This window comes from Homo sapiens, chromosome 10 (assembly GCF_000001405.40).
Source record: "Homo sapiens chromosome 10, GRCh38.p14 Primary Assembly".
In the NCBI taxonomy this organism is placed as follows: Eukaryota; Metazoa; Chordata; class Mammalia; order Primates; family Hominidae; genus Homo; species Homo sapiens.
The window spans coordinates 6,242,510-6,267,825 of record NC_000010.11 but is presented as its reverse complement, the minus strand read 5'-3'; the positions used below and the strand labels follow the sequence as shown (position 1 = coordinate 6,267,825).

The window sequence follows — 25,316 nt, the reverse complement described above, 5'->3', positions numbered from 1 at the left end:
CCGCCACCATGCCTGGCTAATTTTTGTATTTTTAGTAGAGACGGGGTTTCACCATGTTGGCCAGGCTGGTCTCGAACTCCTGACTTCAGGTGATCCGCCCGCCTCGGCCTCCCAAAATGCTGAGATTACAGGCATGAGCCACTGCACCCGGCCAGTAATTTGATCTTTGAACTGATGTTTGAGAAGTGAAGCTTGCTGCCTTGATGGCTGGGAATTCAGCAAGTGAGTAGAAGGGGCTGAAAGGAAGCGTGCTATGTCTACAAGTGAGTAAGTAAGAACGCCAACAGCCCCGAGACACCGCACTTTCTGTTTGACCCAGAACTTGCCCTGACTGCAGAAAGAAGGCAATGACGTTCTAAGAAACTCTAACCACTAAGGAGCCTCATCCTGACCTCCTACTTCCCTGTATTAGCCAAGTACACATGCTGAAGTGAGGAAAGGGAAAGCCAGTGAAACCCACAGTTCCTTCTCCTTTCAGACCTTCCTCACTCATTAGTACGTACGTCCAGGGTAGCCAGCAATGGCAGAACATGAGCGTTATCAAGCGGTGAATAAAAGCAGTGAGTTTGTTTTGTACAATATCTCCATTGTTCTCATAAGAACAAGATACATATGCCTATACAAGCTGGGAAATACCAGTTGTGTGATTGTGGTGAACCCACTTATGAGTTAAATGCGCTTATGTTTGCATGTAAAATTGTCACTGCACAATATAAGGACGAACTGTAGAACTCATGCTAATAACTTGTTTCTTTATTTTGAATAACATTAAATAGCAAATTTTAAAAAACAACATGACAAGAGAAAAAAGGTGAAAGATTTATAATTTAGCACCTCTAAATTCTGCTTTTTTCTTTCACATAGTCCCCAAATTCCGCAGACAATCTTGCGTTACGCTGTCAATGCTGTGAGCCAGCATTCTCCCTGTGAGCATAATGGAGGCAAGGCCTGCTTCGCACGCATGAGACCAAGGCCATCATGCGGGGCCCCAGGTTTGGCAGGGACCCCTTGCCCTTTATTTGGGTTAATGCTCTGCTGTTGCTGTTTTGAAATACTGAATAAATTTTGAAAACGGAGTCCTACATTTTACTTGGACTCTGCAAAATATGTGGACAGTCCTGGGTGAAAGAAGAACATTTGCATTGAATTAGAATTGGAGATCTCAATATGAATGTATATTTCCAATAATACAACCATATATAGATATAGATACACACACATACATATTATAGTTATTGTATGGTTTTATTTACGCATATGTGAACACACACACATATTTATCCCAACTCTGGCCACTGAAACACCCTAGAAGCAATGACACCCACTGGCAATAACACAACTACAACCAGATCTAGGACCGAGGGCTTGTTAGAGACATCGACAGTCTTAGAGCTGAGACAGGGAAGGCACAAGATGAGCCTGGAGTATTGTACAGGCCTAGAAATCAACGACGTCCTCAAAGCAGAAGAGGAGAGCATGCCGAAGGATACAGGAGCCAGCCTGAAGATGCTCCTATGACCCAAATCTGGGACAATTTGAGTGTCAAAATAAATAAGGACACTATGGATTATAACTCATTAAATATAATAGGAATCAATGAATCCATAAAATAAACAGTCTCAAGCTCAGTGGCTCATGCCTGTAATCCCAACAATTTGAGAGGCCGAGGCAGAAGGATCACTTGAGCCCAAGAGTTTGAGACCAGCCTGGGCAACATAGTAAGGCCTTGTCTCTACAAAAAAATTTAAAATAACCAGGCGTGGGGCACAAGCCTATAGACCTAGCTACTCAGGAGGCTAAGGCAGGAGGATTCCTTGAGCGCAGGAGGTCAAGGCTGCAGTGAGCTATGATCATGCCACTGCACTCCCACCTACGTAACAGAACTAGACCCAGTCTCTAAAAAATGATAATAATAAATAGAAAAACAAAAAAAAAAATGAAGGACAAGAGAAGTCTCCTCCTGACAGCAGAATCCTGAACAATAAACACAGAAGGAGGGGGTGGAGCTGGAAAATTATGTTTCTGCAATCATTATAGCAAAGATTGGTTGAGACAAGAATCATCAGTGAAAGCTAAACTTAAAAAGAAATTTGGATGAGGAGTAGGATGTCTTCGTGGCACCAGTGTTTCCCCATAGATTGCTTATTAGCTCCAAGGGAGAAAATAGTAAATATACGGTGGAAAAATTGAACAATACCTTGGGCAGGTGGTCAAAATAATTACCCGCAAGAGGCAGGTGGGGTGACAGGCCTTCATAGGTGATACCCCAAGAGACACAACATGACTTCCATAATATTCTAGCCAGGGATGTATAGCCTAAACATAATAGTGGAGAAACATGAGACAAAATCAAATTGAGAAACATTTGATAAAATAACTGGCTTGTATTCTTCAAAATTGTCAATATCATGAAAAACAAAAAGCTTAAGAAACTATACCAAATTAGGTGAGGGGCGGTGGCTCATGCCTGTAATCCCAGCACTTTGGGAGGTTGAGGCAGGCAGATCACATGAGGCCAGGAGTTTGAGACCAGCCTGGCCAACATGGTGAAACCCCGCCTCTACTAAAAATACAAAAATTAGCCGAGCATGGTGGCATGCACCTGTAGTCCCAGCTACTCGGGAGGCTGAGGCAGGAGAATCGCTTGAACCCGGGAGGTGGAGGTTGCAGTGAGCCGAGATGGCGCCACTGCACTCCAGCCTGGGTGACAGAGTTAGACTCCATCTCAAAAAAAAAAAAAAAATGAAAGAAAAAGAAACTATGCCAAGTTAAAGAAAACTAACACAAATTGACAACTAAATGCAGTAGGTGTCTCTGAATGAGACCGTGTACCTCCAGGGAAACAATGCTAGAAAGGACATCATTAAGATGATCGATGACTTGGAAGATAGACTACATTATATACAAGTATTCTATCAAGGTCAAATTTTCTGAATTTGGTAACTATACCATGGTTATATGAGAGACTCTCTTTGTTCTTACAAAACACACACTGAAATATAAAGGAGTAAAGGAGCCTGATTTATGCAATCTACTCTCAGATTATTAAGGAAAAGATGGAAAATAAAAATAACATACACGTATAGAGAGAATGAAAAAGAAAGAGGGAAACAGAATAAACAAGTGAATGTGGCAAAATGTTTTGTTAAATGTTGAAAAACATTTTGAGTAAAGGGAACAAGGGGTTTCTCTGTACTATTCTTACAGCCTTTCTTTAATTTGGAAATTACTTCATAATAAAAAGTTAAAAAATCAAATACCTAAGAATAAATTGATAAAATAGGTGTAATACATCTACACAGAAGACATAAACATTAAACAAAAAACCCTAAATATATGAAGGAATAAGCCATATTCTTAGATTGAAAAAGTCAATATTGTAAAGATATCAGTTCTTCCCAAAGTTACCTATAGAGTTTATGTGATTTAAATTAAAATCCTAGCAAAATTTTCATGGAAATTAAAAAGCTTATTCTAGAATCAAATGGAAATCCAACGGGCCAAGAATAGCCAAGACAATCTTGAATAAGAACAGAGTAAGATGACTTACTCTACCCAATGTCAAACTTGATTTTAAAGCTACATTAAGGGAGTGTGATATTGGTGCAAGTTTAGACGAATACGTAATGGAACATCTAGAAGCAGTCCCTCTAGATTAATGACAAAGATGGCACTCAAGTGCAATGGGAAAAGGCAACCTTCCAAGAGTGGTGCCAAGTCAATTCGATATGGGGAAAAAGTGACACCAAACCCTTGTCATCATTCACAAAGACCAATTCCAGGCAGGTTTTAGGTACAGCTAAAAGGCAAAACCACAAGGCTTCTCGAGAAGATAACCGTGGCTGGACACAGTGGCTCACGCCTGTAATCCTAGCACTTTGGGAGGCCAATGCTGGAGAATCACTTGAGGCCAGAAGTTCAAGACCAGCCTGGCCAACATGGCAAAACTTCATCTCTACTAAAAATATAAAAATTAGCTGGGCATGGTGGCACACGCCTTTAATACTAGCTACTTGGGAGGCCAAGGCACGAGAATCGTTTAGGCCCAGGAGGCAGAGGTTGCAGTGAGCCGAGATTGCACCATTGCCCTCCAACCTGGTGACAGAGCAAGACTCTGTCTCAAAAACAGAAGAAAATAACCATTATTAAGCTCTTGTCTCTCAGCTCCACACCCACACTTCTTTGTCCTGCATTGTAATTCTGGGGCCAGGACTCTTCATTTCCCCCTTGCTGGTTGGCTTCCTGCTAGAATTTGCAATAGGAGCTGCTAGAAAGAGATGGAAATTCAGGAGGAGCGAAGTAGAGATGTCCTCTGCACTGTTACCATCACCTGGGCAGTGTTGGGAACAAGCCCCCCAAAATCTGGCCATAAACTGGCCCCAAAACTGGCCATAAACAAAATCTCTGCAGCACTGTGACATGTTCATGATGGCCATAATGCCCACGCTGGAAGGTTGTGGGTTTACCAGAATGAGAGCAAGGAACACCTGGCCCACCCAGGGCGGGAAAACCGCTTAAAGGCATTCTTAAGCCGCAAACAACAGCATGAGTAATCTGTGCCTTAAGGACATGCTCCTGCTGCAGTTAACTAGCCCAACCTATTTCTTTAATTCGGCCCATCCCTTCATTTCCCATAAGGGATACTTTTAGTTAATTTAATATCTATAGAAACAATGCTAAGGACTGGCTTGCTGTTAATAAATACGTGGGTAAATCTCTGTTCGGGGCTCTCGGCTCTGAAGGCTATGAGACCCCTAATTTCCCACTTCAACTTCACACCTCTATATTTCTGTGTGTGTGTGTGTCTTTAATTCCTCTAGCGCTGCTGGGTTAGGGTCTCCCCGACCGAGGTGGTCTCGGCAGGCCAGCATTTTGGTTCCAGCCTTCAGCTTCTTTCAACTCCCCTGGAACCAATCTCATCACAGCCCCTCTGGGCTATTAGCACCGCTGGACAGCAGCTCCCCCTTAGAAGTCTGAGTCTCCTCGCTGTGAGGGATCCCTTCTCTGAGCTACTAGGTTTTGATAACACCACCCTCTTGCCTTTGCTCCTCTAGTCTTTGAGGCAGTACCCATTTCTGAAGCTATTCTCTCTGTTACCTTAGGGCTTCTGTTTTGGTTTTCAGACTCTGAAACCTATGTGACCATTTCTCTTTATTAGATTCTCTCCCTTGAAATTTATAGTGTGATTTCTGTTTTCCTAACTTGACCATGACTGATACAATAACACACACAAATATCCTTATGGCCTTAGGGCAGGGAAAGATTTCTTAAGCAAGACACAAAAAGCACTAACCATAAAGGGAATAGTTGATAAGTTAGATTACATTGAAAATATCCAAAGACAGCTTTTTTTTTTTTTTTTTTTTTTTTTTTGAGATGGAGTCTCGCTGTCGCCCAGGCTGGAGTGCAGTGGTGTGATCTCTGCTCACTGCAGGCTCCGCCCCCCAGGGTTCACGCCATTCTCCTGCCTCAGCCTCTGGAGCAGCTGGGACTACAGGCACCCCCCACCCCACCCGGCTAATTTTTTGTATTTTTAGTAGAGACAGGGTTTCACCATGTTAGCCAGGATGGTCTCGATCTCCTGACCTCGTGATCCGCCCGCCTCAGCCTCCCAAACTGCTGGGACTACAGGCGTGAGCCACCACGCCCGGCCAACAGCTTTGTTTTTACTTTTATTTTAGGTTTGTGGGTACATGTGAAGGTTTGTTAGGTAGGTAAACTCATGTCATAGGGGTTTGTTGTACAGATTATTTCATCACCCAGGTATTAAGTCTAGTATCTAAGAGTTTTTTGTGTTTTTTTTTTTGTTTTTTGTTTTGTTTTGTTTTTGAGACAGAGTCTCACTCTGTCCCCAAGGCTGGAGTGCAGTGGCATGATCTCAGCTCACTGCAACCTCCGTGTCCCAAGTTCAAGTGATTCTCCTGCCTCAGCTTCCTGAGTATAGCTGGGACTACCGATGTGTGCCATGATGCCTGGCTAATTTTTGTATTTTTAGTAGAGATGGAGTTTCGCCATGTTGGCCAGGCTGGTCTTGAACTCCTGACCTCAAGTGATCTGCCTGCCTCGGCCTCCCAAAGTGCTGGGATTACAGGTGTGAGCCACCATGCCTGGCCTAATTTTTGTATTTTTAATAGAGATGGGGTTTTACCATGTTGGCCAGGCTGGTCTCAAACTCCCAACCTCAGGTGATTTGCCCTTCTCGGCCTCCCAAAGTGCTGGGATTACAGGTGTGAGCCACCACGCCCAGCCCAAAATAGTTATCTTTCTGCTCCTTTCCCTCCTCCCACTCTCCTCTGTCAACAAGGCCCCAGTGTCTGCAGTTCCCTGCTTTGTGTCCATGCATTCTCATCATTTTAGCTCCCACTTGTAAGTGAGAACATGCAGTATTTGGTTTTCTGTTCCTGCATTAGTTTGCTAAGGATAATAGTCTCCAGCTCCATCTATGTTCCTGCAAAAGACATGATCTCATTCCAAAGACAGCGTTTAAGGGATTAAAAGGCAACTGACAGATTAGGAAAAGCCATTTGCTACTCATTTAACAACAAAAGAAAGACCTTGCATCCAGAAAACATCCTACAAATAAGGGCAGAAAATTCAGTTTTAAAAAATGAGCAAGACTTCAAAATGTACTTCACAAAAGATGGTATCCAAATGTCTAGTAAACATATGAAAAGACAACCTCGTTTGTCATAGATGGAATGCAAATTAAAATCGTGAAGAGATACCACCACTACGTACCATCAGATAAGCTGAAATTAGAAAGACTGGTGGTACCAAGTGATGGTGAAGATGCAGGGAACTGACCTCCTGTCCACTACAGGTGGGAAGATAAATTAGTGCCACTGTTTAGGAAAGTTGTTCAGCACTAGCTACCAAAATTGAACACATGCCTACCACCTCCCATTTACATATCCAATGTAATCTCACTCTCATTTACATATCCAATGAAATGACTGCCCTTTTTCAGTGGAAGATGTGTGCAAGAATCATTATTCATAATAGTAAAAAAACTGGAAAAACACACATGACCAAATACAGTAGAATGGAAAATAAACTGTAGTATATTCATACAATAAAATACTATACAGAAATGAGAATCAATCACTACCTAATGAAACAGCAAGTATGAATTTCAGAATTTAATGTTGAGGAAAATAAAGTCACTGAAAGATACATACAATGTGATTTATGTAAAGTTTAAAGTAAAACAAACAGGCGAAAGAAAACTATAGCACTTGGGGATACATGCTTAGATGGTAAAACTATAAAAAGAAGCAGAGAAGCCACTACCACATATATCAGGATGGTGGTTACTTCTGGGGACAGGAAGCAGGTGGCAATTAAAAGGGGGCATGAAGGAGCCTTCTGGATGCTGGCAATGTTTGAATTTTTTTTTTTTTTTTTTTTTTTTTGAGACGGAGTCTCGCTCTGTCGCCCAGGCTGGAGTGCAGTGGCGCAATCTCGGCTCACTGCAATCTCTGCCTCCCGGGTTCATGCCATTCTCCTGCCTCAGCCTCTCCGTGTAGCTAGGACTACAGGAACCCGCCGCCATGCCCAGCTAATTTTTTTGTATTTTTAGTAGAGACGGGGTTTCACGTGTTAGCCAGGATGGTCTCGATCTCCTGACCTCGTGATCCACCTGCCTCAGCCTCCCAAAGTGCTGGGATTACAAGCGTGAGCCACCGTGCCCGGCCAATGTTTGAATTTTTTAACCTCATTGTATACATCTTTGTTTGGCGATAAATTATAGAACCATACTTTACATTTTCCATGCTTTTTTTCATGTATGTTGTACTTCACCATAAAAAGATTACAATGTGGACAATAATACACATATCTTAGGATGACCATTAGAATTAGAATTAAATGAGCCAGGGTGTACAGAAGGCTTTGCTAAGTGCCTGCCATTCAGCCAGCACTCATCACATAATGGATATTACTATCTGATGTTCCACTACTGAACAATGAAAATAACTACTAATGCTGGGCTAGGAGACAGCAAACTCTAATGAGAGGACTTAAAATTGTTTCTAGTATATTCTCAAAAACTGCAGGTAAAGGCTGGAGGTAAGATTTAAGTGTGTTTGCTGCAGGTAAATGCCAGGAGACAAGGTGACTACCACAATGCTTGGTACATGAGAGTCACTCAATAATTACTAGAAATATGGATGGAAGGATGGATGGATGGACGGATGGATGGATGGGTGGATGGATGGATGGATGGATGGATGGATGGATGGATGAGTGGATGGATGAGTGGATGGATGGATGGATGGATGGATGAGCAGATGGATGGGTGGGTGGATGGATGAATGGAATTATGGGCTGATGAACAAATGGATGGATGAATGAATGGATGAGTGGATGGATTTATGAATGGATCAATGGGTGGATGGATGGATGAGTAGATGGATGGGTGGATGGGTGAGCAGATGAATGGATGAGTTGGTGAATGGATGGATGGATGGGTGGATGGGTAGATGGATGGATGTAGATGGATGGATGGATGGTTGGGTGGATGGATGAATGGTTGGGTGGATGGATGGATGGTTGGGTGGATGGATGGATAGATGAATGGATGGGATGAATGAATAAATGGATGGGTGGATGGATGGATGGATGGATGGATGGATGGATGGATAGATGGATGGGATGAATGAATAAATGGATGGGTGGGTGGATGGATGGATGGTTGGATGGATGGATATAGATGGATGAATGAATGCATGGGTGGGTGGATGAGTGTATGGATGGATGAGTGTATGGATAGATGAACTGAAACAAGAGTGGTTTTGATGAAAATCTTGCAACCCCAAGGGTGTAAATACTTCCTCCATGCAGTTTTCTCTCTGCCCAAAGCTAAACACAGCACCATATATGATAGAGTGTAATTTTAGGCTTTGTGGTAACAGGAAAGTTGGTGGCCATTTTTGCAGGCCTTTCCATGGTCATTCCTGGCTGTTTACTGACCAGGGGAAAGAATTATGTCAGCCTGGATCTCTAACCTACCACCAAGTGGGAAGAGAGTTTATTTCACCTACGAATTTAATGTTCTGCCAAGGCCATCAATCCAGGCTGTGGGCAAAGCATGAGAGTAATTTTTCCACTCAGACAATCCCCTACAGGGAGCAGAGGCTAAGCTAATGAACATCCAGTGGATATTCAAACAGGAAGAGAAGACACTAGGCTAAGAGCAGGTTTTCCTAAGACAGCCTAAAATGACAATCAGTCATCCAAAATGAGGACCACTGAGGCCACAATTTCCAGTCCAGTATTATGTTTAATTGCAGACTTCAGAGTGCTGTTCATTCAAGGGAAACATCCCTAAATTCACCAAGTGGTCCCTATGGTCTACTTAGTGTGGCCTGTCTGGTCCTCAGGCCCAGAAACAGAGAAGCCCATTAACTGCACAGGCACATGCTCCTGCTGTATGGCAGAGGCCTTGTGCATTTCTGTCTTTTTTGTTCCTGTTATAAAGCAAGACATACCTGCTCATAAAATCTGAATGTCTCCATGATCCCTTCACCCCTCTTCCCCAATCTGAAACTCTCTTATAGTAACACAATAAAGAGTTGGGTCTGTTTCCTCCCAGACTTTTTTCTGTATGTGCATACACATATTTCTTTTTCCAAAAAAAAAATAAGATCAAAATATATATGCTGCTCAGTAGACTGCTTTTCTCACTCAGTGCTTACCATGAAGAAATTCCCGTCGATGTACTTTGAACTCTACTTCCTTCTTATTGATGGCTGCATAGTAAAGCAGGCCGTCTGCTTCTACCCGCCGGTCCCTTTCTCATTTTGGAGTGTCCATGCCTGGGCTTAGGTGAGCTTTTGCTTTAGGTGTTGACCCCTATAACTCTCTTCTGAGACCTGTCCTTGGGCTCCCAGAGCCATTGTGCTAGGAGGGGCTGAAGGATTACCAACACCTGGCTCCTTGTCTCCAGTGGGTGTAATCTACACTCCAGAGTCCCGCATGGGGATCAGGTGGGTGCCAGACCCGATCTGAAATTACATCCTGACTTGTTCCTTCCATCTCCCTTCCCAGCTTCCCTACTCCTTCACAAGGTTGTCCTAGGAACTCTTCCATAATAAATCCCATGCACAGAAACCCTCATCGCAGGGTGTGTCTGGGGAAGGTGACCCACAGCATGCAATACTCCATGGCACAGGACATGCCACCATTTACCTAACCAACCTCCTATTAGTGGACTGTAATGTTTTTTCCAATTTTTCCCATCACAGACCATTCTGGACACGGGCTAGCACACTAATCCTACAACAGGGTCCTCAACTGCCCTCCATCCTGGCCACTCTTACAAGTCCCTACCATGGTCAAGTCACTTGTCTGACCTCCCATCGTCATGATTTAAAAATAAGAATGTAAACATGGCTTCAAGGAACCCACCACCTTTATTAGTGACCATGAATATAAATGACTCGTGTGCTTGTTTATTTTTCCCAGAGTTGAGTTAGGATCAAAAAGTTCAGCCCACACAACTTCCTGAACCCCCTTGAGCTCAGACTCCCAGGTAATCAATGGTTGTTGTCACACAGCCTAGATACAATAGGCTGGAACCTGCTGGTGTATTTTCAGATCAATGACTCAGAAAGGGTTCTTTGTATGACAATCTGGGGTCTCACACAGCAGTGCCTGTCTCTTCCCAACTCCTCGGATGGCCCCAACTAAAGATGAAATTGTGATGATGGAAACACTTCATTTATGATGCTGCTGTTGGGAACGAATTGTGAGGACAGTGAAAGCAAAAGAAAGAAAAAAAAATTTTAAATATGATGCTGTTGTGATGTTTCCTGGGAATTTTAGAAAAGAAAGAGCTCTAAGTAGGTTGAGTATTTCTTTTTGAAACGTGAAGCTAAGACATCTAGAAATCTATTTGGAACGCTTTTGTCTAGGAAACCTCTGAAAATAAGCTAAACTCTCACTCTCTGGGGAAGCAACAGAGTGGAGTCTCCCTTCGCACGGTTCCCTTTGCCCAGAACCCACCACAGCAATGATCTGAACCCTTTCTTCCTCCCATGGGTCGATTTGAACATCCTATCCAGGTCTGAAAGGCCCTCCCATCTCTGCCTACAGGTTTCTACTTACTGAATAGTTCCTTCGTGAAGTTTCAGGATTGCAAAATGCAGAAGCTTCGTCACGTTAAATACACCTGGGAGGAGCCACGCCTCATTTTTAAAGCTTTCCAGGGCAATGAATGAAGTCAGACCACTGACAACAGCCACCTTGTGGAAAGAGAGGTGTGGTGGCTGCCATCTCCATGCACATGGCAGCCTGGCTGGAGATGAAGTATGCGAAGAAGGCGCTGCAGACCTGAATTTATTGGCACAACCCTGGGACCAGCTGGGGACCATGTAGAGCCTCGTCCCCTCCGGGTACTGTCATGCACATCCTTGGAAGAACAGACTCCATCCTTTTTTCTTTTTCCATGAGGGATGACGAAACTGAAGGTAGGTTCAGTTACCTACACCCCCCAAGTCCTTGAGTGACCTGCCACTTCCTATCCCAAAACAAAATCCTGCTTAGTCCCTGGGAATTCATGTCCTCTGGTTTAGGAGTACTACATCAAGCCACCCAAGAAAGGAGATTTAAACCTTCTCCAGAAAAGTACCAGTCTGGATGCTGAGAACAGAAGATAGAGTGGGTTCAAAGGGCACAGGCCCTAAACTCTCAGGGTTAGAAAGGAACCTAGAGATCAGACTGTGATGGGGCCGGGGGCGGAATGACTATTTTTCTGAGTTTATGTGGCTTATCCCAAACCAGCTCATTAGTGGCAAGTCAGAGGCTGCAGCCTACGCCCCTTGTTCCTGGCCTGGGGCTCTTCCCGCTGAAGCACGCGGCTAATGCTTTTAGAACCACGGCGAGCCCAGGAGGAACCGGGTGAATGTCAGGGCTGCCCTCCCACCCCGCCAACGCTCCCTTCCAGGATAATGATGATAGAATGCTGCTGTGACACGTCTCCCGCACACGGTGAGGCTGAAGAACTGAAGAGGAGGCAGCTGGGTACTTTTCCATCAGCTTCGTACCCCGCCTACCCAGTCCGCTTCTCTGAGCCTGGACATTGGAGCTTCCCCAGCCGACTGCTGTTGTTCAGAACATGGAGTTCCCGCTCACACCTTCACACAGCCGACAACCCTGGCAAACTCTGTCCCATCAACTACATCGTTTGTTTGGCCTGGCAGAGTTCTGGCTACTAAACAAACAAAACAGAAAAGTACACTCTATTCCTCCCAGGTGTACACAGTCAGATAAGGGAGACACACCCGTTGAAGTACCCTTCCCCGAAAATATATCTTGCATTTTTGCATTATTATGGATTAATTAAAAAACAAATGTATTAAATTTTGCTTCGCTTACATGGGGACTAGAAAGAAACAGAGGTTGGGCCAGTTGCGATGGCTCACGCCTGTAATCCCAGCACTTTGGGAGGCCGAGGTGGGCAGATCACCTGAGGTCAGGAGTTTGAGACCAGCCTGACCAACATGGAGAAACCCCATCTCTACTAAAAACACAAAATTAGCTGGGCATGGTGGCGTGTGACTGTAATCCCAGCTACTCAGGAGGCTGAGGCAGGAGAATCACTTGAAACCGGGAGGCAGAGGTTGCAGTGAGCTGAGATCAGGCCACTGCACTCCAGCCTGGGTAAGACTCCGTCTCAAAAAAAAAAAGAAGAAGAAAAGAAACAGAGATTGGCCAGGTCCAGTGGCTCACACCTGTAATCTCAGCACTTTGGGAGACCGAGGTGGGCCGATCACTTGAGATCAGGAGTTCGAGACCAGCCTGGCCAATGTGGTAAAACCCTGTCTCTACTAAAAATACAAAAATTGGCCAGGATGGTGGCACGTGCCTGTAATCCCAGCTACGCGGGAGGCTGAGGCAGGAGAACCACTGGAACCCAGGAGTGGGAGGCTGCAATGAGCCAAGATCGTGACACTGCACTCCAGCCTGGGTGACAGAGCGAGATTCTTTCTCAAAAAAAAAAAAAAAAAAAAAAAAAAAGAACAGAAAAAAATAAGAAAATATCATAAGTCAAAGATGCAGTTGAGAACACCTAACCTACCAAACATCATAGCTTAGCCTGGCCTCTCTTAAACACACTGAGCACACTTACATTAGCCTATAGTTGGGTAAAATCATCAAAGTCTATCTTATAATAAAGTGTTGAATATCTCATGTAATTTATTGAACATTGTACTGAAAGTGAAAAACAGAATGGTTGTATGGGAACTCGAAGCACTATTTCCACTTCTACAAAATGCGTATCTCTCTTGCATCATTGTAAAGTGGAAGTGTCATAAACTACCCATCATCCATTGGAGACCTCTGTATTTTACACAACTGACACTGACCTGGGAAATCCCACATAACCACAGCATAAGGGAAGCTTCTCAGAGTCCTCAGCAGCTCAGGTTAATTGGTCTCTTTCAGCCAGGTATCATTAGGAGCCGCTTGCCGCAGAGCCAGAAAGGTGAGGAAGCGAGACCAGTCTGGGCTCCGGGATGCTTGGTGCAGCCCCGGGTCCACTCCTGGATGCCACGGTCACCTCTCTGGGTATCCAGAGAATGCTCTGCCCTTCAGGGGGCTGGACTGGTGGCTCAGGGTCCCTTCCAGGAATTCCACTCTTTAACTCCTAAACAGGAAGGAGTACATTGTGGATTAGATTGAGTGGATACCTCAGAAAGGGCTAAAGAGAAAAAAAAAAAAAAAAAAGCCATCTGAAAGTACATGGATGAAAAAGACCCTCCATTCCTCATCACCCTTTTTTTGAGACGGAGTCTCACTGTCGCCCAGGCTGGAGTGCAGTGGTACGATCTCGGCTCACTGCAACCTCTTCCTCCTGGGTTCAAGCGATCCTCCTGCCTCAGCCTCCCAAGTAGCTGGGACTACAGGTGTGCACTACCATGCCTGGCTAATTTTTGTATATTTTTTAGTAGAGACGGGGTTCGCCATGTTGGCTAGGCTGGTCTCAAACTCCTGACCTCAACTGATCTGCCCACTTTGGCCTCCCAAAGTGCTGGGATTACAGGCGTGAGCCACCGTGCCCAGCCAGCATATCACCTTCCTGAAGACTATGCTTTCTCTTGTCTAGGTGAAGTCCAAACTGCCCTCTCTATCCCTCATCCCCCACCACCAGGATATGACCGCATCTTTTTTTTTTCTTTCTCCTCTCTGCACCAGCACCTGAGGCAGGAGAATGTTGAAATCAAAGATAGTGGGAAGACATTTCTGAGCTCATGTCACAGAACACACCCCCGTCCCCCGCTGGCACCCTGGCCTGGGACAAATCCAGCTCCTTTAGGGTACCACTTCCCTGATGCATGGCCATTGACCTTAGCCAAGGGTGTCTGCAACCTGGCCTGGTGACTCGTTCACCTCAAAGCAATTGCCCAATTTGTTAAATTTTCGGAGAGCACTTTAATAGAGAGAGTAATTTGTTTTTCATCCTTCAAAAGGCAGCCAAGCTTATGAGAAGCCACCTAGGAAGAAGACTAACAGTCAAGCCTTTTCAAAAGAAGCAGTTACGATTTTATGATTTTTAATTACAAGGGCAATCGATGTAAATGTTCTTGTTGTAAAAGATCCAAATATAGGCCGGGCATGGTGGCTCATGCCTATAATCCCAGCACTTTAGGAGGCCGAGGCGTGTGGATCACAAGGTCAGGAGTTCAAGACCAGCCTGGCCAAGATGGTGAAACCCCGTCTCTACTAAAAATACACAAAAATTAGCTGGGTGTGGTGGTGGACACCTGTAATCCCAGCTACTCAGGAGGCTGAGGCAGAGAATTGCTTGAACCCAGGAGGTGGAGGCTGCAGTGAGCTGACATCGCGCCACTGCACTCTAGCCTGGGTGACAGAACGAGACTCTGTCTCAAAAACAAAAACAAAAAAAGATCTAAATATAAAAGTTTATGGAGTAAAACAGAAAGGTCCTTTTATCATCCCTCTCCCCTACTTCTAAAAAACTATTTACCTCTATTAACAGTGTGCTATGTATCCTTCTAGTGTTTTTCTATGCACTGGCATAATATACACATAGAGAGAGACATGAATGGAATTATACGATACAACAATATGTACTAGAGATATTTTCAAATCTCTGCATATATATGACCCCATTATTTTTAATTATCACATAGTTTTCCATAGTGTTATATCATATCTTTTAACCAATTCCATATTGATGGCCATTTAAGCTATATCAGATATTTTCATAATCACATATGGTTCTAAATGTGCGTATTATATATATCTCATTCTTCTATGTAAATAAGGTATTTCAATCATTTCTAAGTTTGTCCTTATCATAAATAACTTTCTTTATAAGCCTTTGTCTGCATGTATGCCTTGGGAGAGATTTCTAGAAACTGAATCGATGAATCAAGAGAGATGAACTTGTTAAAATGAAACACTTACATGTTTAATTATCCAATTACTAATCCACAAGTATACACTATTGTTAACCCCAAACTACATCAAAAGAAAAAAATCGCAAAGGAAACTTACAGAGAAAGTTCTGGGTATCTATTACCAATTATACCATGAGTTTGGCCTGAACCATCTCAGCCATTCTCAGATAAAATAGAGTTGGATGTAGCAGTCACAAAAGCCAAAAGGCTCTCCCATAAATACACCAGGATAACAATTTAAGCCAAAGAGTTTTACTTCTGTATTAGCCACTCCGTAGGAACAGTGGGTTCTTGCAGCCAGTTACACAGATGGTGTAGACAAAGTGTCCAGGTTTTAAAGATGGACAGGCATGAATTTGAATCTATCCCTACAAATTGAAATTTATTCTCTCATAAGGCCTTTATTTTATTTTATTTATTTATTTGTTTTTTTGAGACAGAGTCTCACTCTGTCACCCAGGCTGGAGTGCAGTGGCACAATCTTGGCTCACTGCAATTTCCACCTTCCGGGTTCAAGTGATTCTCCTGGCTCAGCCTCCTGAGTAGCTGGGATTATAGGCACCCGCCACCACACCTGGCTAATTTTTGTATTTTTAGAGAGATGGGGTTTCACTATGTTGGTCAGGCTGGTCTTGAACTCCTGACCTCGTGATCCACCCTCCTCGGCCTCCCAAAATGCTGGGATTACAGGCATGAGCCACTGCACCCAGCCAAGGCCTCTCTTATTTGTCTCTTTCCATCACAATCTGACACTGCCCTCCTCTCTGCACACATCCCTGTTCTCCTAAATTTAACTTTTCCTGCCTTGGCCACCAGATTGATCTTCCCCACACACCAATTCATCTCTCTCTTCTTGCGAGGCTTCCCAATGCCTAATAGGAATAGTTTTGCTTCCAACTGAAATGTACAAGGTTGTAACAAACCATCACATCCACAGCTACAACAACTGAAAAAAGAAAAAGGAAACTGGATAAGCTAACAAAGACATATTTTTCAAAAAGCTATTGGGGAACTATTAATTCAAAAAACTCAAGAGAGCAAGGACTCTTCCTGGGTGAATGGAGACGGGCACCATTCCCTGGAGATGACGGCTGAGTCTGGATGGGCAGGTGGGTGGCTGGTTTTGCCACAGACTAAGGGAGATGCAGGGACTTTTTGAAGATTCAATGAGATAAAAAGATATCAGTCTGGTACTCTCTTTCCACCCCATCCTTGCCTTCTGAATATCCAAAGTCTATTTACATTGATTTCAACTTGTGAAATATTTGAGCTGGAAAATATATTTTGGGTTTTCCTGGTTCAATGGTTTCAACCTAGGCTGCAGATTAGAATAGCCTACAGAACCTCTAAAAATACCCATGGGGACGGGGGACAAAGCAGTATTCAAACCAATTAAAACAGAATCTCTGTGGGGTAAGGCTCAGACCTCAGCACTCGTGAAAGGTCACAAGATGATTCTGGTGTGCGGCTAAGTTAAGAAGCGCTGGCGTAGTTCAACCCACTCATACCATCCTGACTAAGACAGGTTGTAGTCCCTTAGTCCATTTGCCATTTGGGCCGGTTATAACAAGATTCCTGGGACTGGGTCATTTATTAAAACAGAAATGTATTTTCTCACAGTTCTGGAGGCTAGGAAGTCCAAGATCAAGGTGCCAGCATCCGGTGAGGGCCTTCCTGCTGTGTCCTCAGATCACAGAAGGTGGGAAAGGGGAAGAGGGAGCCAATCTCTCCATCAAGGCCCTTTATAGGGTACCTAATCCCATTCACAAGGGAGGAGCCCTCAGGGCCTAATCACCTCTCAAAGACCCCACCTCTTTTTTTTTTTTTTTTGAGACCGAGTCTCGCTCTGTCGCCCAGGCTGGAGTGCAGTGGCGTGATCTTGGCTCACTGCAAGCTCTGCCTCCCAGGTTCATGCCATTCTCCTGCCTCAGCCTCCTGAGTAGCTAGGACTACAGGCGCCCGCCACCATGCCCGGCTAATTTTTTTTGTATTTTTAGTAGAGACAGGGAGGGTTTCACCGTGTTAGCCAGGATGGTCTCGATTGCCTGATCTCGTGATCTGCCCGCCTCGGCCTCCCAAAGTGCTGGGATTACAGGAGTAAGCCACTGCGCCTGGCCGACCCCGCCTCTTAATACTGTCACATTGGCAACACCTGAAATTTGGAGAGGACACATTCAAACCATAGCACATCTCTTATATTTTATGTGTTAAACTATTTTATACCATAGCCTTTTACCTCCTGAGGGCTCAGGCTATTTTTGGGTCACCCTTGTCTCTTCCACAGCACCCAACATAACACTTTCCCTGTAGTAGGAGTCCAATAATTGTTTGTGAGGTGGTTGATGCAATATGCTTCCAGGAGATTTAGCCTTTAGGAATGCAGCATCAGGAACAAAATGCTTTTTTAAATGTTCACATTTTTAAATTGTAAATTGGCAAATAATATTTATATATGGCTAGGGTACAAAGTCTTGTTTAGATTTATGAATACAATGTGGAATAACTAAATCAAGCTAATTAACATATACGTCACCTCAAATACTTATCATTTTTGTGGTGAGAATATTTAAAATTTACTCCCTTAGCAATTTTGAAATGTACATTATTATTTTCTATAGTCACCATGCTGTACAATATCACACACACACACACACAAATATTCCACCTGCCTGAGATTTTGTACCCTTTGACCATCAGCTACCCATTTCTCCCATACTCCAGCCTCTGTAAACACCATTCTTCTCTCTGCTTCTTTGAGTTTGACTGTTTCGGATTCCACATATAAGTGAGGACATGCAGTATTTTTCTTTCTGTGCCTTGATTATTTAATGTATTTAAATGTTTTCCAATTCCATCCATGTTGTTGCAAATGACAAAGTTTATTTTTATGGTTGAATAGTACCCCATTTTGTATATATGCCATATCTTCTTTATCCATTCATATGTTGCTGAACACTTATGTTGGTTCCATAACTTGGCTATTGTCAATAGTGCTGTGATGAACATGGAAGGGCACACATCTCTTCAATGCAGTGATTTCAAATATTTTGAATAAATACCCAGAAGTGAGATTGCTAGATCATATATTAATAGTAATTCTATTTTCCACATTTTGAAGAACTTCTATACAATTTTTCATAGTGGCTGTACTAATTTACATTCCCACCAACAGTGTACAAGGGTTTCCTTTTCTTTTCTTTTTTTTTTTTTTTTTTTTTTTTTAATTGAGACGGAGTTTTGCTCTTGTTGCCTAGGCTGGAGTGCAATGGCGCAATCTCAGCTCACCGCAACTTCCACCTTCTGGGTTCAAGCGATTCTCCTGCCTCAGCCTCCTGAGTAGCTAGGATGACAGGCATGTGCCACCATGCCTAGCTAATTTTGTGTTTTGTAGTAGAGACAGGGTTTCTCCATGTTAGTCAAGCTGGTCTCGAATTCCCGACCTCAGGTGATCCGCCTGCCTTGGCCTCCCAAAGTGCTGGGATTACAGGCGTGAGCCACTGTTCCCGACCTAAGGGTTTCCTTTTCTCCACATCCTCACCAACACTTGTTATCATTTGTCTTTTTGACAATAGCCATTTTGACAGGTGTGAACTAAAAATCTCATTGTGGTTTTAATTTTCATTTTCCTAATCCACATGAATGCATTAATGACGCATTAATCAACATTAGTAATATTGAACATATTTTTATATATCTGTTGGCCATTTGCATGTCTTCTTTTGAGAAACATCTATTCAGATCCCCTGCCTTTTTTTTTTTTTTTTTTTTTTTTGAGATGGAGTCTTCCTCTGTTGCCCAGGCTGGAATCCAGTGGCACGATCTCAGCTCACTGCAGCCTCTGCCTCCCAGGTTCAAGTGATTCTCATGCCTCAGCCTCCCGAGTAGCTGGGATTATAGACACGTGCCACCACACCCAGCTAATTTTTGTATTTTTAGTAGAGACAGCATTTCACTATGTCGGCCAGGCTTGTCCCAAACCCCTGACCTCAAGCCATTTGCCCACCTCGGCCTCCCTCCCAAAGTGCTGGGATTACAGGCATCCTTGAACATTTTTTAATCAGATTATTTGCTGTCTTTCCGTAGAGTGGTTTGAGAAATGCATTTTGAAAACCACACATTTAACACTTCAAAACAAGGAGAGAGAATAACATTTCCAAGCCAGCAAAATGAACAACTTTATATTGGCCCAGGAAAACTGGGGGTGAATATATTTCCAGGGAAATCACAACAATAACAGTGAAAGAAAAGGTCAGTTTTCATTCTCAAAAGGCCCTGCTCCACTGGGTCTCTTACCTTTCTGGAAACTGATTAACTTTTCTCCAATCCAAGGTGAGTCCAGGAAAATAACAAAGGCATTGGCTTGATGGCCACTTGGCAGCCATTGTTACCTGATTTATTGCCTGCTCTACCCAGGGTGACCTGTGTGATCTGGGGCAAATATTCTAACCTCCTACATTTTTAAACCTCTCAGCCTGAGTTTTTTCATATATTAAATAGGAAAAAATAAATAACCAGCTCATAAAGTGGTGGGGAAGATTTCATGGGATGCTCTAAGACTAAAACCCACTGCAGGTATTCTAATAGGACACTTGTTTCTTCTTTGAGACTATTGATTTATTCATTCCCTAGTAGGAAAATCAAGTTCATATGAGACACCCCTGTCAAGACGAGGAAGGGTTCCTTAGGAGGGGTCTGGAGGACACTCCATCACGGAAGTGGAATGGGTCAGGGCTCTGGACTGGCCAGGAGAGGAGAGGGAGGCGTTCCTTAGGAGGGGTCTGGAGGATAAACCTTCACAGTGGAATGGGACAGGGCTCTGGGCTGGCGGGGAGAGGGGAGCTCAGCTTTTCGCTTAATGAAGGGAGAGCTGAACTCTTGAACCGATTGGATGTATTTTTCCTTTGTTTGGCCTTGGCCTGAACTGGCCAAGAAGCAGTGGGCGGATGGATGTCACTGCCTATTTCCTCCCAGTTGTTTTTGCAGGCCTACATTTTAGAAGGCTAATTGTTAGAGTCCTCATTTTTCTTCCCCACAAGAAGAGGGCTTTGTTCAACAATTAAATCAGGCTGTGTCAGAGGCAAAGCCTTTCCATTTTTGACCAAGGTTTGGCTCCAAACATAAAAGAAATTTTGGCTCTATTTCATTTAGCTGACAATGTTTCCTCCCTCAGAGCCTGAACCGAAGTTTTCTACCCAAAAGAAACACTGGCCCCACCGTGACGTATCCTAACATCCAAATACCAGGAGGTGAGATCCCTGGTAGCCAAGCCGAGAATGAAGACAGCCGTTTAGACATCTTGCTTCTGCTTCCAGTGAATGAATGAAGCCAATGTTGCCCTTGGTTTATCTACATAATGGCCTCGGCCCTTCATCTGACTTCGTTTGGGACTTGTTGCATGTCCGGGTCTGGGCAACAGACCCACAGGGCAAGGGCGCCGCACCAGCCTCGGGTTAGGGATGCAAGCTGTTGCATCTCAGGTGGCTTCTTCGGCACCTAACTTGTAAAATGGACATTTTTCTCCAGCGTCCTAGAGCTGCTGTCTAAAGCAACTGCTTACGATGGGAACAGCAGACACTGGGGATTCCAAAAGCAGAGGAGAAGGCACGGGAATCAAGGGTACTTAGTTCACTTCTTGGGGGACAGGATGATTAGAAGTCCAAGCTTCAGCATCATGCAATATACCCACGTAACAAACCTGCACATCTCCCCTCCAAATCTAACATTTTAAAAATATTAATATATAAATAATACATAAAATAGGCCGGGCGCAGTGGCTCTTGCCTGTAATCTCAGCACTTTGGGAGGCCGACGCGGGCGGATCACCTGAGGTCAGGAGTTCAAGACCAGCCTGACCAACATAGTAAAACCCCATCTCTACTAAAAATTTTTAAAAATTAGCCAGGCGTGGTGGCAGGCGCCTGCAGTCCCAGCTACGCAGGAGGCTGGGGCAGGAAGAATTGCTTGAACCCGGGAGGTGGAAGTTGCAGTGAGCCGAGATCGTGCCACTGCACTCAATCCTGGGAAACAGAGTGAGATTCCATCTCAAAAAAATTAATAATAATAATAATAATAAATAAAATAAATAAAAATAAAAATGTACATCAAGAAAAAAATAAATAAATCAAGTGATTGTTACCGGATTAAAGGATTGTGTTCTGTGTTTTTAATCTGAGTGTAAACTGCTCCAGTCCTTTCTTTGGGAAATTCTGTCCAAATTTCCCTGTGCAAGTCACATGGCAAATTCACTGTGTCAATGGGAGACCCTCAGGAAGCCTGGGCCCAGCCGGGTGAATGGCCATCACCAGAGATCAACCCAGGGCATCCAGGCCATGGGGAGGAAGTGGGAGGCTAAAGGGATTGCATAGAGGGTCTTCGAGAAGAAGGAAGAGGAGGCGGCTTTCAGGAGAGAGAAGGAAATTGTCTTCTTATCAGTTAGCCGTAGCTGCCATATCCGGCATCCTAGAACATTCTCCCTAATGCTACTTAGAGCTTCTGACAACTCCCAGGGCACTGTTTGCCTTCTCACTCTTTCCAGGTAAGTAGTTTTAACTGAAAAGAGAGCCACATCAGGCTGGTCTGAGTGCAGTAGTGCTTACAACTAATTGATCACAATTCATTACAGATTACTTTGTTCCTCTCCACTCCCATTGCTTCACTTGACTAGCCTTCAAAAATAAAAAATAAGGCTCACACTTGAAATCCCAGCATTTTGGGAGGCCGAGGTGAGCGGATCACTTGACCCCAGGAGTTTGAGACCAGCCTGGACAACATGGAGCAACATGGAGCAGAAATTTAGTCTCTACTAAAAATACAAAAATTGGCTGGGTGTGGTGGTGCACACCTATAGTCCCAGCTACGGGGGAGGCTGAGGACGGAGGATCCCTTGAACCTAGGAAGTTGAGACTGCAGTGAGCCCTGATCGCACCACTGCACTCCAGCCTGGGCGACAGAGCCAGACCCTGTTTCAAAAATAATAGTAATAATAATAATAATAATAAATCAAATAGGCCGGGTGCAGTAGCTCATGCCAGTAATCCTAGCACTTTGGGAGGCCAAGGCGGGCAGATCACAAGGTCAGGAGTTCGAGACCAGTCTGGCCAACATGGTGAAACCCCGTCTCTACTAAAAATATAAAAATTAGCCAGGCATGGTGGCGTATGCCTGTAATCCCAGCTACTCGGGAGGCTGAGGAAGGAGAATTGCTTGAACTCAGGAGACAGAGGTTGCAGTGAGCTGAGATCGTGCCACTGCATTCCAGCCTGGGCAACAGAGCAAGACTCCATCTCTAAATAAATAAATAAGAGAGCTAGACCACAAGTCAAGTTGTTTAGTCCCAGCAGCTGTGACACCTGACCTCGCTTTCCCTCTGTGAGCCTCAGTTTCCCCACCTGTAAAGTGGTGGAGTTTAAACTTGCAGATCTCGAAGGTCCCAGCTCAAGCAAACTGGGCTTCTAAGACTAAAAATCTCATTTTATGGTGAGTGTATGCTAGGAACTGTTTCTTTCATTCATATCTTATAAAATGAACTCCTAGCTTTCAGCACAATCTCGGGCCATTAATAGGAACTCTCCCTCTCAATTACGAATGAACGAATGAACCTGATTTAACCCAGCCTTTCTCACTTTTACATAACACCCTCTGGGTGATGAGGGCATTTCCAGTCCAACGTGCTTATATCCTTAGCTGCCCTTTCCAGCTTCTCATCCCTCCCTAATCCTTTGTGAGCTGTGGATTTAGAAGACCAAGAATTACTTGTCTCGGTCTAATCTGCTTGCAAAAGAACTAATTTATTACCGTGTAAGAGAATAGCGACAGAATCTTAGCCCAGATTCTCAACTGGGCTAAGGTGTGCTTTGTAGGAGGACCTGCCCCAGAGCACCTGCTAAATACAGCTTTTCTGGATGCTGCGCCCAAATTCTCAGGCCTGCCCCGAATTGGAATACGGTTAGTGTTTTCCTCAAAAAGAATGAGCAGCCAAGTTGGTCCAGAAAGACCATGGTCCCTCCAGAAATTCCCTTCCCCATGGGCTTCACTAATATTCCTGCAGCCTGTGGTGGTTAAGCTGCCTGGGAAACAGGAAGTTTGGTCTTCACTACGTGGCCTTCACTTCGTGTTTCCCTGTGTGTGTGGTACATTCTCAGCCCTAACAAGCGAGTTGATGTCTGCTCTTCATTTGACATCCAAACAGCTGAGTTAAGGCCACGCTCTCCCCTCAATGGGATGAGGAAGAAATCGCTGACACCAGCTTCAGGTGCAGTGGCTCACACCTGTAATCCCAACACTGGAGAGGCTGTGGAAGGATTGCTTGAGCCCAGGACTTCAAGACTAGCCTGGGCAACATAGTGAGGCCCCATTTCTACAAAAAATAAAAGTATTAGCTGGGCGTGATAGTATGTACCTGTAGTCTCAGCTACTCGGGAGGTTGAGGTGGGAGGATTGCTTGAGCCCAGGAGTTCGAGACCAGCCTGGGCAACATAGTGAGGCCCTATCTCTACAAAAAATAAAAACATTAGCTGGGCATGATGGCGCACACTAAGTAATCCCAGCTATTTGGGAGGCTGAGGTGGGAGGATCACTTGAACCCAGGAGTTGAAGGTTGCAATGAGCTATAATCGTGCCACTGCACTTCAGCCTTGGGCGACCTAGCAAGACACTGTCTCAGAAAAAAAGAAAAGGAAAGAAATAGCTGACACATTGCACTCCTAAAGCCTGGCAGTTATAAAATGACAGAAGAATAATTTCTCTCACACCTTCCCCACTCCATTTGAGGAGCTCTGCAAAGTTGAATTAGGGAAAGAGAACAGGCCCCAGAAGGAAAACGTCTCAGCCTCTATGGGGAGCGTTGCAGGAAGCGGCTGCCTCCACTGATGGGACTAGGGTGACAGCACCCAGAGCCTGCCCAGGGTCGTGTCCCAGTTCCCTTCCCAGGGGGAAGAAAGGGTGTCTCCAAAGCGAACACTGTGGGCTTCCTTTTCTTTCTTCCTCCTCTCTCTATGCTTGCCATTCCTGACTAACTTCATCCATGATGCCTTCTGGGATTTAATAACTAAGTAAAGATAGTCTTGGTTGAGTTTCCTTCAAATCTCAGAACTGACAAAATATTCTCAATATGTTGTCCCAGGACCAGCTGCTTGGGACGTGCGGCAGTTCCGAGGATTACAACATGGTTGTTAAAGGGATCTCTCTTTTTTTCTCTAATGAAACGCGCTCTGGAGCACTGGCTTTCTTCACAGATCTCTTGGTTGTCTTGGAACTTGAAGGACCTGAGCATTCCTAGAGAATCAATTAGACGTTAGCTCTGGTAGGGTGTTGCCGAGTCTTCCAGTATTTTTTTATCCCTAATACTTAGAACAGTGGCTTGCATATAACAGGCATTCAGCAGATACTTGCTGATACAGACAGCCTCCCCCAAGTCATATTATAAAAGCCTCACTGGAAAAACTAAGACAAGCCCCTTTGGGCTGGTCAGTAACTGAATCTGCTATAAAGTAAATTATAGAAATAAAATGTTTAGGCCGGGCGCAGTGGCTCACGCCTGTAATCCCAACACTTTGAGAGGCCGAGGTGGGCGGATCACCTCAGGTCAAGAGTTCGAAACCAGCCTGGCCAATATGGCGAAACCCTGTCTCTATGAAAAATACAAAAATTAGCTGGGTGTGGTAGTGTGCACCTGTAATTCTAGCTACCTGAGAGGCAGAGGCAGGAGAGTCGCTTGAACTCAGGAGGTGGAGGTTGCAGTGAGCTGAGACCACACCATTGCACTCCAGCCTGGGCAACAGAGCGAGACTCCGTCTCAAAAAAAAAAAAATGTTTACAGAACACTGCTTCAGGGCACTACGGTGGGAACAGTTTCATCCCACAGGTTCGCCTGCACACATTAGAGACCATGCA

At 44.3% G+C, this 25,316-nt stretch overlaps 1 protein-coding gene across 2 annotated transcripts in view; it reads right to left on the bottom strand.

The window, feature by feature from the left end:
- The window catches only part of PFKFB3 (6-phosphofructo-2-kinase/fructose-2,6-biphosphatase 3), a 181,717-nt gene that overhangs the window by 58,812 nt on the left and 97,589 nt on the right, over positions 1 to 25,316 (bottom strand). The window contains exon 15 of one of the 2 annotated variants that reach the window (NM_001363545.2): positions 13,178 to 13,648. The exons of the other annotated variant lie outside the window; for it this stretch is intronic. Coding sequence (NP_001350474.1) covers positions 13,457 to 13,648 — 192 coding nt within the window. The 3' untranslated portion in view covers positions 13,178 to 13,456. Of the gene's footprint in view, positions 1 to 13,177; positions 13,649 to 25,316 lie in introns of those variants that run through there. 2 annotated transcript variants of the gene reach the window in all.